The sequence below is a fragment of the Homo sapiens genome, chromosome 15 (genome assembly GCF_000001405.40).
Source record: "Homo sapiens chromosome 15, GRCh38.p14 Primary Assembly".
NCBI classification, from domain to species: domain Eukaryota; kingdom Metazoa; phylum Chordata; class Mammalia; order Primates; family Hominidae; genus Homo; species Homo sapiens.
Genome location: NC_000015.10, coordinates 85713522 through 85729028, shown reverse-complemented (window position 1 = coordinate 85729028; position 15507 = coordinate 85713522). Strand labels below are relative to the sequence as shown.

General features: G+C 40.6%; 1 protein-coding gene across 3 annotated transcripts in view, besides 1 other annotated feature; it reads right to left on the bottom strand.

Moving 5' to 3' along the window:
- AKAP13 (A-kinase anchoring protein 13) overlaps window positions 1-15507 on the bottom strand; it is a 368756-nt gene that overhangs the window by 20330 nt on the left and 332919 nt on the right. For all 3 annotated transcript variants that reach the window (NM_007200.5, NM_006738.6, NM_001270546.1), the window contains 10 exons: window positions 13106-13241; window positions 11627-11739; window positions 10870-11022; window positions 9703-9953; window positions 6913-7038; window positions 6682-6799; window positions 5709-5957; window positions 2543-2619; window positions 1782-1963; window positions 1566-1648 (listed from right to left, as the gene is read on the bottom strand). In NM_007200.5, coding sequence (NP_009131.2) covers window positions 1566-1648; window positions 1782-1963; window positions 2543-2619; window positions 5709-5957; window positions 6682-6799; window positions 6913-7038; window positions 9703-9953; window positions 10870-11022; window positions 11627-11739; window positions 13106-13241 — 1488 coding nt within the window. The remainder of the gene's footprint in view (window positions 1-1565; window positions 1649-1781; window positions 1964-2542; window positions 2620-5708; window positions 5958-6681; window positions 6800-6912; window positions 7039-9702; window positions 9954-10869; window positions 11023-11626; window positions 11740-13105; window positions 13242-15507) is intronic.
- Window positions 1463-2662: an enhancer, noted in NCBI's record as "BRD4-independent group 4 enhancer chr15:86269598-86270797 (GRCh37/hg19 assembly coordinates)". NCBI's record gives its function as "activates an origin of replication core promoter dependent on BRD2, P300/CBP, MED14 and CDK7 cofactors, and independent of BRD4, by STARR-seq in HCT116 cells {active_cell/tissue: HCT116}" and the evidence as "EXISTENCE:reporter gene assay evidence [ECO:0000049][PMID:35650434]".

The following is a 15507-nucleotide window of genomic DNA, read 5'->3' as shown; positions in this document are numbered from 1 at the left end:
GAGCCTGGCCAACTGATCAGATTTTAATGACCTTATTTCTTACATCTCTTCCTTCTCCAGCTCATTCTCACTTAACCTATCCTAACAGTCTTCCAAATGGTCTTTGTACTTCCAGTGGCTTCCCATTCCCTCAAGCAACTCTCCTAACTATCTTCAACATGTTAAAAAAAAAAATTTTTTTTTTTAATTACATGAGTCCCTTGTTGCCTTTTAATACCTGGTGCATTTCCAGCTTAAGATCCCATCCCTTAGCCCTGACCCTCCAGACACACCGAACCTGTCATTCCTTGGCAGACATGTCAAGTCCTTTTTCACCTTTGCACATAACCACTCTTGTGTGCTGAGATAATTTTTTTCAGATGTAGCTCATGCACCAGCTTCTCTGTGAGACTTACTAGAGGCAGGATGAGCAGATCCCACACATGCTAATTGTGCCTGTGGTCTAATAAATCACTGTGTGGCCCATCATTGATGTATGTCTCCCCTGCTAGGGTGTGAGCTTCTCAAGGGCAAGGGCTCTTTTTAAGGAATCTTTGCATCTGTTGTACCTAGCAGTATGCCTAGCCAGGTACTTGACAAAATTTAAAGAAGGAAGATTTTTATCCTTGTCATCCTAATCATGGGCCAATAAATTTGCTATAACTCTGGCTCTGGTCTAAAGCTGTCCATATTTTTAATTTCCCCCTCAGTGAGACAGAATGCTATCATCTGTATGGCTTTAAGGCCTAACCAAACTCCTTAGGTGCTTACATTTATTTAACTCTAAGCCTTATTTCTATCCAAAGCATAGTCTTTACTTTGAAACATTCGATAAGCCACTGGCAAAGAGAAAAGAGCAACAGGCTTTGCTAAGACAGGGAATAGAATTCTGGCTTAGCCACTAACTACATACGTGAGTACCAGGCTTTGCTAAGACAGGGAATAGAATTCTGGCTTACCCACTAACTACACACGTTAACCCTGGGTAGCTTGTCCTCTGTGGGCCTCGACTGTCTCATCGGCACAATGGGGATTAGAATGCCTGTGTTGCAGGGATACTGACAAGACTACACAAAACAGTCAGCACTCAATAAATAAGGGTCAAACATAGATTGATACATACCCTGCTCCCAAAACTTCACCTCACAACTCATTTGTAAACATGCGGATAAGTGATAACGCTAGGGACTGGGGGAGGATTAAATCAGATTAACTGGAGAATTCTTTTCCCCAAATTCCTTTCTCTCCTTGTTTTAATCTTAGATGTGACTACAAATTTTGGCAAATTCGCCTGTGACAAAGTACAGAGAATGTCATGAGGTTTGAGAACACGGATCCTGAGTCAAGAGAATCAATATTCTCTTGATCCAGTACTGGAAACATCCTTGCAGCCATTCTTTACGAGGACCCATGTCAGCCTGGCCTTGGTTTCTCTTTTGTTAACAGCTATTCATTTTGCTGCTTTCAAGTGCCTGCTGGGGCAGCTTTAGAACTGAGGGCAAACCCGTACCTCTAAAATCCACCAGCAGTCTTCTGCAACTGCAGACATTCCAGACAAGGGGCTCAGACCACTCGCAATGCCTCACCTTTTAATTCTCGGGCTCTGGTGTCCAACATTTTCTTTTCTTCCTCATTCTCACTAGGAATTCCTTCATCTTCATCTCTGTTCCTAATACAACCCAAACAAGACAGAACAAAAAATTCCTAAGATGTCAATTACTCTGGTCACAGTCCAGCCTGTTATGAAATCACACAGAGACATCAGGAGGGCTGGGAAGGGTGGGGCCTGGTGGTTAACTTACAGGGTGTTGATTGTGTCCTGAATGATCTGAATCCAGCTGTTTCGTTCCTCTTTGGAGCTGGCATGGACTTCTACCATCTCTGGATCTGTCATCCCCATGCTGATCAGGAATAAACCTTTCTCCTCATGTGCCACTTCTCTCACAATCAGCTTCTTTAAAGAGATCACTGTTGACTTCTGGTCCTGGAAAAAGGGAAGAGGGCAAATAAAAGATACATATACAATATTCTAACTCTGAAGGACAGCTTCAATCTAAGGTAAGACCAGATGCTGTTAAAAAAGCACATAGTTTGAAAAACAAGGGCTACTTTAGGATAAAGAGAAGTATCTCCTTATTTCATTCAGATTTTAACAAAAAAAGATTTCAAAAGGGAAATAGTAATTTATGGCTCTAAAGGTTCCAGTCATGTTTTCCACACGATGAATCTTTCCAGGTTCCCCAAAGAATCCAGTCAGCAATATTATACATGAGCACCATTTATGGGCTCAAATGTGAGAAATGCTCCAGTGACCAGGTTTCTTCATAGATCAAATAGTCAGATGTCCAAGACACTAAAAGAAGACTGTGATGAAACAGAATAATAATTTTTTGGGAAGAGGGGATGCCAGAAAATTCTGAGGGCATGTGGGAAATTACTCAGAGGAATTTGTCCTGAGCCATTTAATTTTAAGAGGGCGGGGGAGAGCAATAACATAGTGCTTACATTCCATAACTAAACTAGCTGCTTATAATACTATTACAAAAATAACAATTCAGCTTACCAATGATGCAAAGATGTACTTCTGGTCTTTTTCTTGAAGGAAAACTAAAATGTCAGTGAGAAGAACTGCTTGAACCTCTGGAAAATGGAAATGGGAGAAGGGAAGATAAAACGATGACTACTTAATAGTTACCCACAGTCAGAAGGTTTTTTATTGAAGGGTGTTTCAGCAACACATACACCCCTATACGGGCAAACTATGATCTGAGATCACACTCCTCCAAAGCAACAGTTTTACAGTTCTCCAGGATTCAGATCTGGTCACCAGATTTTTAGCAGCATTTTAAAATGGGATTTATCACCAAAGCCTTGTTTTGGAAAAGTTTAAGTACTCAGTCCTAGAAAGATATATCCCATAAGACAAGATTTTAAGAATAAAATACTTTTAAGAATAAAGCTGAAAAGCTGGACTTGTACAGATGTTAAACAGCAACACATAGCAGGATACTCCAAAAAATACTCAGATTGCAATATTTTTCGACTTCTAATTACAGTAATGGGAAAGGTGTGGGGCAGGAGACAGGAATGCTGCCCAAAGATGAAGTATAGAAATATCTAAGTCTAATGAAAAGACGTCTTCCATGCCCTCAAAAGAACAAAGAGTGGCCACACAGGCAGGCGCCTTCCAGTCTTACAGGTACATGTGAATATAGGGCTCTTTCCTCAGCTCCATATGCAATAGTCAGCTTAAACTCTAGCTCTGACTAATCCTCTAGGAGTAGGTAGTAACATTTTCCACTAGTCTCCTGAGGATGGTTTGATGTCTCTGGAGTTGAGTCTATCTCGAGCTAGCAGGTTGGCCCCTATGTAACATCTTCACTGTGGAAAGTGAAGTCCACAATTCCCTGGGAAAGGATGGAACTGATTTATGCAGTCCATGCCCCACCTTTTCTTCTACCTCTGCCGCAACTGAAATCCCCTTTCTGTGGAATTCACTGCAAAGCTATGAAGAAAACAGAAGCAAGGACATCTGATTCCTAGGGAGGTCTAATTTTTTTAGGCTAAACTACTGCAATTTTCTGTGTACTGCCATCAGTTATGAAAAAGTTTTTTTTTTAAAGTTTACTTTTAAATAATTCAGGTGCCTGCACCCTCCCCCTCCCCCCAAAAAAGCAGAGACACACATTTTAACTTCATTGAATCTTGAAGTTTATATGATCAGTGTCAGTGGATCAGAGAAAAACAATCCCACCCCTTTCAAAGAGTACCCAACATAGTACTGGCTGTTCTTGGCATGAATTCACTTGGGGGTGAAAATGACTAAACACCAACTCCTATCTCTACAGGAGGCATTCTAGGCCAGAAAACCTATCGTTCTGCCGCTGGCTTGACCACAACTTTATTGCAACAGCTGGAATCTACTAGTTTTTATTTTGGGAATAAATAAATTGCTATGTAAAGGAAAGAATAAAGCGCTGGATCCAGGCAACAGCAGCTCTAGGAAATTCAGGCCTTTACAAGAAGGGGCAGGTATTTCTGAACTGCCAGACAGCGTAAAAGTCTCAAAGAGAGCTAGGGCTCTCAGAACATCATGGAATATTAAGACTGGAGGGAAGGAGCCTTAGTTTAAGTTTATCACAGAACCATGAAATACACAGCCAGCTGGTGGTGGGAAAGGAGATTTCTTTCTCTGAATCTTTTCTGCCCTTCTTTTTTATGCCTTCTGCTACAATGCAGGCCCAGATGAGCTCTTCCCCAAAGCACTGCACAGTCTCTTATCTGTCACCAGTCTCTCTTCACTCCAGCTGCACTCTAAACTGCCCCTAGTTGTCATACTGAAAAACCACCTCATGTATCCCTCTCCTGCTTGCCGTTCTCGTTTTTGAACCCATTCTTTGCCCCCTTCCCTCATCAATAGTATCAACTGTTAACTCCTCAGTCTGGAGAATGCACCTCATTACAACCTGGCCCCTCCCGTTTCTTTGGGCTGGTTTCCCGTCACTCCCCTGTCATTCACTCTGCTCTCTCACGTGAGAGTCCCGGGTGTCCACTCTTCCCTGGATGTGCCACACCCTTTCAACTCTGTGCTTCCACTTTCTCTTCCTTAGTGTGGGGAACACTTTCTCCTTATGTGCCGTCATCCTTCAAGACTTGACTCTATTGCTATTCCTCTTGCTTTCTCCTCCATTCCAGCACTCACCACACTGTAGAGCAGGTATCTCTTTCCAAGGCTCTTCATTTTGATTTCAACTTCTAAGCAGGGTGTCCTGCTTTATTCATTGTTGAAACCAGCTGACTGCCTGGAACTTCTTTACCATTTGTTCTATGCGTGGGCATTTCCTATAGCAGTTATCTACATCATCACTTATACCTCAGAAATGAAAGCAGCACCCATTTCCTCCACCTTCTTTCTATGCCAGTGAGGCTGACAGTACTGGCCTACCCTGCTTCAATGTCCTCAGCTCACTGAGGCCAGGGCGACGGGGTGGGTATAATTCAAGGCTATTGGTGTAACATATAGGCCCATGGAGTATAGGTTTGATGAAAACAAACAAAAAAAATCAAATGTACACATAAATTAAAAAACAAGCCTCATAGCTTCTTTAACTTGATACGGCTGACTATTAGAAATGTAAAAATTAAAACCAAATGGAAAATGGGCATCCTTTATGATTTATTTTGCTTTAAAGATATACGAATATCATAAATTATAACAATAAAAAAATCTAATTGATGTGGGTTAAACTTAACTTTCTATTAGGTGTCTGGAGCTGCAAACTCCTCTAACATCTCTTGTGAACAAGTGATGTGTTTTGAACTCACAGATTCTGTGAAACTCGCTGACTGTGTCTCCCTCCTTGTGAGTTTTGCCACAGATCCCAATTCCAACCTGGCTGTCCATCTCTTATAGGGGAATACACCTTCCTTGACAGCTTGCATATGTGCACCAATCTTACGCTTTGCTTTGTTTTTTTAAAACCTTATTTTCCATTTTCCCTGACTGCATCATTTCTTTGTCTTCTTCCTCTATTTTGTATGATTTTGCAGGCCATCACAAACCATTTTTGATATAAGATTACGAAGAACTAAATGCTTGTTGCTCCTGGGTAGTGTTTAGAGATGGGCTCTCTGGGAAAAAAATCTGGTAGTGAATTTCCAACAAAAGCACTTGGATTTTTGCCTGTTTTACCTGGGCACATACTTAAGACAAAAGAGCCAAGCCTTACCTTTCAACCTTCCTGCTGCATTCTTCAGAAACACACTCCCATCACGTACAAGCTTCTTCCGTTTCAAATCTTCCTTGGCAAACATCTGACCACTCTTCATCCTCATGATTGACTTGCTATCTGTCTTTGTATAAATCTCATTGAGACGCACTTTCTTTTCATAACTTGCCACTTTGCTGTCTACAGCTCCAATCACATCCTTCACCAGGCTCAAGGACTGTGCTAGATCTTCCTGCTCCACTTCATTGTCTTGGAAGGAAAGAATAATTCTGTTTTTTATGGCTCTTTTTGGACAAGGGCAGAAGCAAGGGAATCCTGACTTCTCACTCCATATCATCTTTTCCCTTTGTGACTATGCTATCAGAGGGAAGCCAACACGTCAGAGATCATGTGCCTATCCTTCTTGCTGTCATAAGTTTGATTCTAAAAAAAGTCAGAAGTTTTCAATGATATAAATAATATGCAATCATATGTTGTGCTCTGAAATAAAAGGAACTAAAGACTTCTAGGAGGGACAGTAATAGCAGGAAGAGCAACCAAGTTTTTTTTTTTTTATTTGTTTTACTTAATTTTTAATGTACTGCCTTGTAATCTTTAAAATAACTACCTAGGAACAGAATTAGCCAAGAGAGAGAAACCAGTAATTACTGATTAAGTGAAAAACAGCAGCAATTCTAGCACTTCTGGGAATAACTAGTGGAAATTATCTCCCAGCCTAGTGATAACAGAATACTGTTCAGGTCATTGAACTCTGGATGGAATCAATGTGTTCCCTTTCCTTCTTGCTATCATCTATCCTAAGTCTGGTAACATAACAGTCCAAATTTTCATTCAACAAAATTCAAGATAAAACACAAGGTCTCTTTTAGACATACTAAAGCATGAAATAGCACTTCCATGGGGCTTCCAGTACTACTGGCCACAGAGGAAACAGTCCATGACCATACAAGACCGAGTTAGAAAGGAGACTTACCTTTGGTACACTGCAATATTCTTTGGAATAAAACTGGGTACTTGGTAATCCGCTGAGTTACAAGCAATATGCACTCTGGAATTCCAAGCCTTCTAACAACTGAACTGCTCATCTTCTTCTGCAAGGGAGTAAACAGACTGTGAGGAATCACATGAAAAAGGCTCTAGTGAAAGCCGACAGGGACACATGGCTCTCAACAATAACGGGGATTTTCATGTTTCTTATCAATACCTTTACAAAGGCTTGAAAACGCTTATCCTTGGCATAAAGGTCTTTGAAGTAGTTTACAGACTGGTTATGTTGCCCACAAAACTTGCCATATGTCTTCTTTAAACGTTCTGCATTCTCACCTGAAAACTGCAGAGAAAAGAGAACAGAAGTTATGCCATGGGGCGCCAAACTCATAATACCATTTTGTAAAATGTTTCCAGTCTAGTTGTAAAAGTCAAGAGCGCTTCCTCATAAATTCTCCCAAAAGAATGAAATGGTGCAGCAGCTTTGGAAAGCAGTCTGGCAGTTACTCAAGAGGTTCAACTTTAAATGGGTAGACTATATGGCATATGGATTAAATCTCAATAAAGCTGTTATACAGATTTGAAAAACAACAAAAAATTAAAGAAACTTTATGTACTGTGCACACGGAAAATGCAAAATGTATTCTAACTTCTATTTGTCATAAACAGAGTAATAAAACAATGAGATTCACTAGGAGTTTTTCATGAGACAATCTTAAATATCTGACCTTGATAAGTTAGACAGACATGACAAACAGCCATCATACCTAGGTATCTGTTTGTACTACTTACTTCAGGCCAGCAGTCCTAATAATTCTATGAGGCCCTTAAATCATTCCCAAATGTGTGCAATCTCAATGATTCCTCTAAAGGTATGTTCACTTTGCACTAAATCAATGAATTTCTGTATGCAGTTCATAAAATACATGCTAATTATTGATTTCCATGTACTACAAACCTCCAGAGGCAACACAAATTGATCCTTACCAAAAAACTGGAAAGAAGGATCAGGGTAGATTTTCACTTCACCATTTACCAATGGAGGAGCTGAGACAGAGGGACGGTAAGTTATCTGCTCATATGACAAAGCAAATGCCCCAAAGGTTGATCCTACCACTGGCACACAGAACGAGCAAACGGATACTATGAGTTAAACTGTGAATTCTAGCACCAAAGATCTTACTAGGGGTTGTACACAAGTACAAGGAGGTACAAATGGTAATACAAGTCAAAGTTTGATGAAGTACTAAGTTAGAGAAAGTAAAAGTTAGATGAAACCAGAGAGGAGGGGCAGAGAGAGAGAAATGGAAATGCCCAAGGGGATGTTTCAGGAGGAAAAGTCATCACTTGTAGGTCTTAATTTTGAGCTCTATCTGTTGCAGCTATCTGTGTTCATTTACCGCACTGCATTTGCATTTATTTCATAACATGCTTACTTTTACTCCTAGGAGTTCCCTGAGGCAGAGGCCTAAGCCATATCCCCCTTTGTAGTTCTACCTGGCATTTAATAGATGCTCAGTAAATACCTGAAAAATGAATGAGTGAATGTGCTAATAAATTAATGAAGTGAGGGGTATGGGCTCAAGAACACAAAGGAAAGACAAAATTTACAATTCTCAGACAAATGTTCCAACAATTAAGCCTCTGCTTCTACACAGCAGCAGATATTTGCCCAAAATCTTTGGGGAATTTGCATCTTTGGGGAATCTGCATCTTTGGGGAAATACCTAGTCAGATGTACATGTTATATACCCCTCTGCCTGTAAAGGTTATACTGGCAATGTGTTTTTCAAGAAGAATATTTTAAAAAGAAACATTAAAATCTGTCTATGACAATCACATCTACAAGTACCAAAGTAATTTTAGCTGAATTTTTTGGAGTATGACTAAAACCATACCACACCTTGATGAAAGTATCAACAATACATATTTTATTAAGCATTTTACAGATAGTCACTTATTCAACTTTCTGTGCTTCAGCTGGTTTTTAGACACATGAGATCCTTCTGATTTGAGGCAGAGGGGAAAGTTGAAGATTTCCAACACACACACACACACACACACACACACACAGAGTTTGTTTTTAAATGTTGAGCTGGGGTCTCTCACTCTCTCGCCCAGGCTGGAGTACAGTGGCACGAGCATCACCATGGCTCGCTGCAACTTTGAACTCCTAGGCTCAAGTGATCCTCCCACCTCGGGCTCCTGAGTGGTTGGGACCACAAGTGTGCACTACCACACCTGGCTCATTTTTTCACTTTTTTTTGTAGAGACAGCTCTTGGTACGTTGCCAGGCTAGTCTTGAACACCTGGCTTCAAGCAATCCATCCGCCTCAGCCTCCCGAACTGTTGGGATTACAGGTGTGAGCCAGTGTGCCCAGCCCCAAATATTTAAATAATTTTCAATTTTTTTTTTTTTGAGACAGAGTATCACTCTGTCTCCCAGGCTGGAGTGCAGTGGCATGAGCTCGGCTCACTGCAACTTCTGCCTCCCAGGTTCAAGCGATTCTTATATCTCAGTCTCCCATATGCCACCACGCCTGGCTAATTTTTGTATTTTTAGTAGAGACAGGGTTTTATCATGTTGGCCAGGCTGGTCTTGAACTCCTGACCTCAAGTGATCCGCCCTCCTCATCTCCCAAAGTGCTGGGATTACAGGCATGAGCCACTGTGCCTGGCCATATTAATTGATTTCTTAAACTATACTGTTTCTGATGATGGCACAGACTCTGAGGAAGAAAAACTAAGTTTTACTGAGCATCTATCATATGCATTAGGTACTTTATATATACCCTCCCTTTAACTTTCCAAAATAACATTAGGAGAGAAACCCTACTGTCTGCATTTTACAGAAAAGGAAATCAAGGCTCCAGAGAAATTAAATAAGTTCCCTGAGCTTACACAGATAATAAATGGTAGAAAGAAGATGTGAATGCATGGCTGTGGAACCCCATGACTTCCCTTTTTCCCAGTGTATGTAAGAACCTGAGATCCTTCCCATTCTCACCTGATTTACAAGCACATCCCCTATCCTCTTGATGAGAAAGTTCTTTTCACTTTTATCCACCAGAGACTCCTTCTTCCGCTCCAGAATCCTCTGGAAGAATTGGCTATGGATACTGATCAGCTCATCCAAACAGGGGAACAGCTTTTCTACCATCTGCTGCTCAAAAAGCAGATCCGCCATCATCCCCTGGCTGTACACACCACTCATGATCTTGAGAGTGCGGACATGATGAAACTCTGTCTGCATCAACTCTAAAAGGAGGAAAAAGATCAAGTGTCAGGAACACTCTTTTATAAGCATTCGCCCTCAAAGATCATCTGCTGCAGTCCCAAAGCTAGTTTAGAGCCCAATTTGAACCTTAAAATTGGGTCAACAGCTATCTTTCCCCTAAAAGTGTTCTCGTTTTTTTGTTTTTTTGTTTTTTTTTTAAGACAGGTTCTGGCTCTGTCACCCAGGCTGAAGTGCAGGCTGAAGTCATGGCTCATTGCAGCCTCAACCTCCTGGGCTCAAGCGATCTTTCTGCTTTAGCCTCTCGAGCAGCTGGGGCTGCAGGTACATGCCATCACGCCTGGCTGATTTTTGTATTTTTTATAGAAATGGGGTTTCACTATGTTCCCAGGCTAGTCTTGAACTCTGGGCTCGAGTGATCCACCCGCCTCAGCCTCCCAGAGTGCTGGGATTACAGGTATGAGCCGCTGAGCCTGGTCAAGTGTTTTCGTCTTATTCCTCTATTTTTCACGTGTCCTATTTTCTGATAATAGGTACCCCGGATTCCATCAGTCTTAAATTATGACTTCCAAAGAGGTCTTCACTGGATTCAGCACCTGTCGTAACTGACTGTATACCCAGTTCTCAGAAATGACTTGTGTTTAGTCTAGTTTTTAGTGTAGGTAAGGAAAAAAACTGAGATATCTCTTTCTAGGACTGCTGTATAAATAAGTACTCACATATAAGTACAATGTTCAGTAGAACTGAAAACAGAAGAGTGGGGCAAAAAGGAGATAGGATACCAACAGGACCACGTCTCTGTACCTTAAAGTTTTTAAAGGAAATCTTTTCAAGAAGCCACATACTAAAAAACTGATTTTTCATAGTCCAACAAATTACTGCTTAAAAATGCTGGACAATGGAAATCAAATATAATCAGAGCAAAATGAAGACTCTCACCATATATTACTTCTTGCCGTTTGACCACATCTTTCTTTTGCTGTTTTAGAAACTTGCTGTCTATTATCCGACTCCAAGACTCTGCTTCCAGCTGTTTGGACTCAATCTCAAAGTCTCCCAGTAGTTGTCCTTCATTCATGTCTGTACCTACTCCTCAATATATCAAAAAATCAATATCAGAATCAGGTTTGTGACCTGTAAAATAAGCCTATGTTGGACTTTCCTCAAGATGATAGTTGATTTCATAAGACACATGAATACAGGGGATATTCACAGAGATCATATTCTAGTACCAGAAAAAAATCAATATCCTGTTCAGGAGTGACAGACTCTACATTCGAGACTTAGGTTAACAGTAATAAACATGACATAAATCAAACATGATTAAGACATGACTTCTATCTACACGAAGTTAAGAATTGGAAGGGACCTGGTACCTTTTCATATTTAAGAGAGCAGGCTTACAATTGCTCTGTGAGCTAGAACTGTACATGTAAAAAAGTCTAAGGGAAGGAAAAGATTTGTACTAAAGAGTAGGCCCACATCGAAATAAATGACATCCTTCACTTGACAGCTGCTGGATGAGTCTGATTACGCAGTCATGACAAAGCACTGGACACTTTACTGACAATTTAGAGAATCTTCACGGGATACAGAAGAGGCAGGTACTGTCACTCCATTAAGACTTATGTTCTAGGTAATGACACACACACAGTCCCTACAGAGGCATAAAATAAAGGCCATAACTTCCTCTTACCCTCATCAGTAAGTGATTCTGTTGACTCATTGACCTTGCTGATTTTATTTAGTGAGTCTGTTGAATGAGACAGGAATTTCCAGGTGTTTGACATGTTCTCATCATTGCCAACTCTGGGGACAAAAGAAAAATACATACTGTCAAATACATTCTGATAACCTATGGCTTGCATTCTTAAATGAGTACCTGAAGACTCTAGAATGACAACTGGCTGGAAGTACTACAGTGACTGAAGACAAATTGCTTATGTCGGGGCCACAGCAACATGCACATGGCCTGGTAACAAAGTCGGGAGCATTTAGTATCACTGGAGACTCAAATTCTGAGGACTTTTTGAGCCTTTTTAAAGAAAGTGATAAGAAGCAAGGGGAACTTTCTTCCATCAAACCATGTACACATTATATAAGAAACTTTCTGTTTAAAACTTATTGCCTAACCAATACACTGTTTTTTCTGTTCTCTAGATAACTACAGATCTAGCACTTACAATCAACTATGTTCTCTTTGGACTTTCTCAATCCCAACTCACCAGCTAGCACAGCAGGCACCCAATTGATGTGTGAGTAGACACAATAGCAAGAACACTTTAAAGACCAACTTTTGAAAGTTACAATGCATACAAACTTTAGTAATGTTACAACTTTTGAAAAGTACACTTTTGGAAATAATGAGAATACAAAGACAAAACAAAACAAAACAAAACAAAAATACCTGAAACTTTTTAGAGGAGGAGAAAACATTAGCCAGCACAGAGGTTAGGAATTACAAACAAAAGGAGACTTTTGCATCCTTTAGTTAGGAATTTTGCTCCAAGATAGGTTAAAGAGATACTCTGAGTCCTACATTTGAAATGGCTTATTCACCCGACGGGAAGGCAGGCATCTTACCCAAAATAGTCAGCAACATCATTATCAGCCCCCTGCTAACCACTTGACAGCCAAGGCCTGGCCAGGAGACCAGAAAAGAAACTCAGTGCAAACGAGTGAGTGAGAACCTAATAGTAATAATTGGCTCAGCACTCACCTCCATGAAACTGACTTAAGTGTTAAAAGGCAAAGATGTAAAACAGAGGTAAGAAGAAACAAAACAACCAGGTTTACTTGAACAACAGAAAAGCATGACATCTGTAAGTGGTTGCAACCCAAAATTCTGAATTAAATCACCCTTTTTCCTATTCCTACTTATTTTGATCTAAAAAATCATCTTTTTAGAACTCAGATTCTTCAAAAGTAGGGCTGATGATATACAAAAAGCCTACAGCAACCAGCCTGCTAAGGGTATTTAAAGGAGATCCTTGCGACAGAATGACCATCATGACATGCATCAGAAACATAATCCCCATCGTCCTTGTCTGCACCAACCCATGACCTTATAGATTTATTTCTTAAAAAAAAAAAAAAGCTTTTTGTCATATGATGTGATTATTATGCTCTGGTCACCTAGATGCCAACTGTGCTATCTTTAAATATCTCCACTTACCCAGTAATGTTCTGTATGGAGACACTTTTGGAGAGCGAGACACTCTGCTGGGATCGTCTATTGGCAAATATTGGGGTGGTAGCGGTTTCATCCACCAGGAGGACTGCGGACCGAGGACGCTCCTTGGGCTGTGAGGCTGCAAAAGGAGGACACTAACTGAAGCATCACCCATCCAGCTCCACCTGGTACTGACCCATCTGACAAATAACAAGCAGAAGTAAGGCGCTTTACAGTGGATTTGCCCTGGAACTGTAAGTTTATATAAAAACTCCATGGAGGAGAGGACACTAACTGAAGCATCACCCATCCAGCTCCACCTGGTACTGACCCATCTGACAAATAACAAGCAGAAGTAAGGCGCTTTACAGTGGATTTGCCCTGGAACTGTAAGTTTGTATAAAAACTCCATGGAGGATAGTTTGGTGATAACTATTGAAATTGTAAATGCCTATATTCTTCGATCCAGCAATTTCACTTTTAGGCTATGTTTATTTTACAAGATATACCTGCATATTCGTGAAATGATGTTATGTCCAAAGTTATTCAATGCAACACCATTGGTAAAAGCAAAAGACTGAAAATGACATGAGTATCACAAGAAGACTGGTGAATAAGTTATACTACACCACACAGCAGAATACAATGCCACTTACAAAAAATAAGGACACTTTCCAAGTACTGACACAGATAGATCTATCTCCAAGATCTATTAAGGGGAGGAAAATCAAAGTGCAGAACAAAGTATATAACAGGCTATCTTTCATGCTTAAAAGAAAGAAAAATAATCCAAGTTGTATTTACTTTAACAAGCGAACTCCAGGAAAATAAACAAAAAAAACTAAGAAGAGTGGTTACCTCTGGGGTGGGACAGGCAACGGGGATAAAGAATCCTGTGGGAGTATTACATATTTTAATATTTAAGCTGCAAATAAGATTGAAAGAATTTCTTTTTTTTTTGAAATGCAGTCTTGTTCTGTCGCCCAGGCTGGAGTGCAGTGGCGCGATCTTGGCTCACTGCAAGCTCCGCCTCCTGGGTTCATGCCATTCTCCTGCCGCAGCCTCCCGAGTAGCTGGGATTACAGGCACCCGCCACCATGCCTGGCTAATTTTTGTATTTTTAATAGAGACGGGGTTTCACTACGTTGGCCAGACTGGTCTCAAACTCCTGACCTCATGATCTGCCCGCCTCGGCCTCCCAAAGTGCTGGGATTACAGGCGTGAGCCACTGCACCTGGCCCCAAGATTGAAAGAATTTTAAGGGTAAAAGGAACCTGAGAGATAACTGGGAGCAGCGTTCTTTAGGACCGTTCACCATGAAGACATCTGGAGTGCCTGTTAGATATGGAATCTCAGCCCCCCTTGTCTTCTAGGGGTGGAACCCAAGAGTCTACATATCTTACAGGCTCAAGTGATTCTTCTGCGCTCCCTGCTAGCGAGCATAGATTTTGATGATTTCCTTTAATTTACAGATGAGGAAAATTTAACACTTGTTTAACACCTGTAACTACAGATGACCCCTGAACAACATGGGTTTGAACTACATAGATCCCCTTATATGTGGAATTTCTTCTGCCTCTGCCACCCTTGAGACAGCAAGACCAACCCTTCTTTTCTTCCTCTTCCTTCTTGGTCTACTCAATGTGAAAACGACAAGGATGAAGACCTTTATGATGATCTACTTCCACTTAACAAACAGTAAATATATTTTCTCTTCCTTATGATTTTTAAAATAACATTTTTTCCTTTGGCTTAATTTATTGTAAGAATACAGTATATAATACACATAACAAACAAAATGCATTAATTGACTGTTTATGTTATTGGTAAGGCTTCTGGTCAACAGTAGGCTATTAGTAGGTAAGTTCTGGGGGAGTCAAAAAGTTTTATGTGGATTTTTGACTGCATGGGGGTGGGGCTGGCACACCTATCATCCGAGTTATTCAAGGGTCAATTCTAAATTGTTCTCATAGTGCATATTTCTCATTAACATGACTAAAGAGGAAACTGGAGATCTAATTTGCTAAAGTGGTCACGCTGGCACTTGGGAACATTTTTCCCTGGTAATGGACTTGCTGTCCCATTCACAGGTTGCATTATCTGTCCATCCCCAGGAGTGTCAAGAGGTGAAGGAAATAAGACTGGGGTGGTAGTTATGACTTCACAGTATTTCAGGATGTCTTTGACTCAATGAGCATTAATATAATCATTAATTTCCAATTCAAATTCTATTTACAAGATGATGACACAATAAAATAGCAGAAACCCGACATTCTAAAACCTGACCAGATTCTAGCTGCAGAAAGTACACAAGGATTATGGGATGTGGCCCTACCCCTCTGCCCCCACCCCCACCCCCACCCAAGAGAAAAAGAGCAAGTGGGTAGAAAAGAGAATGAGCTTAA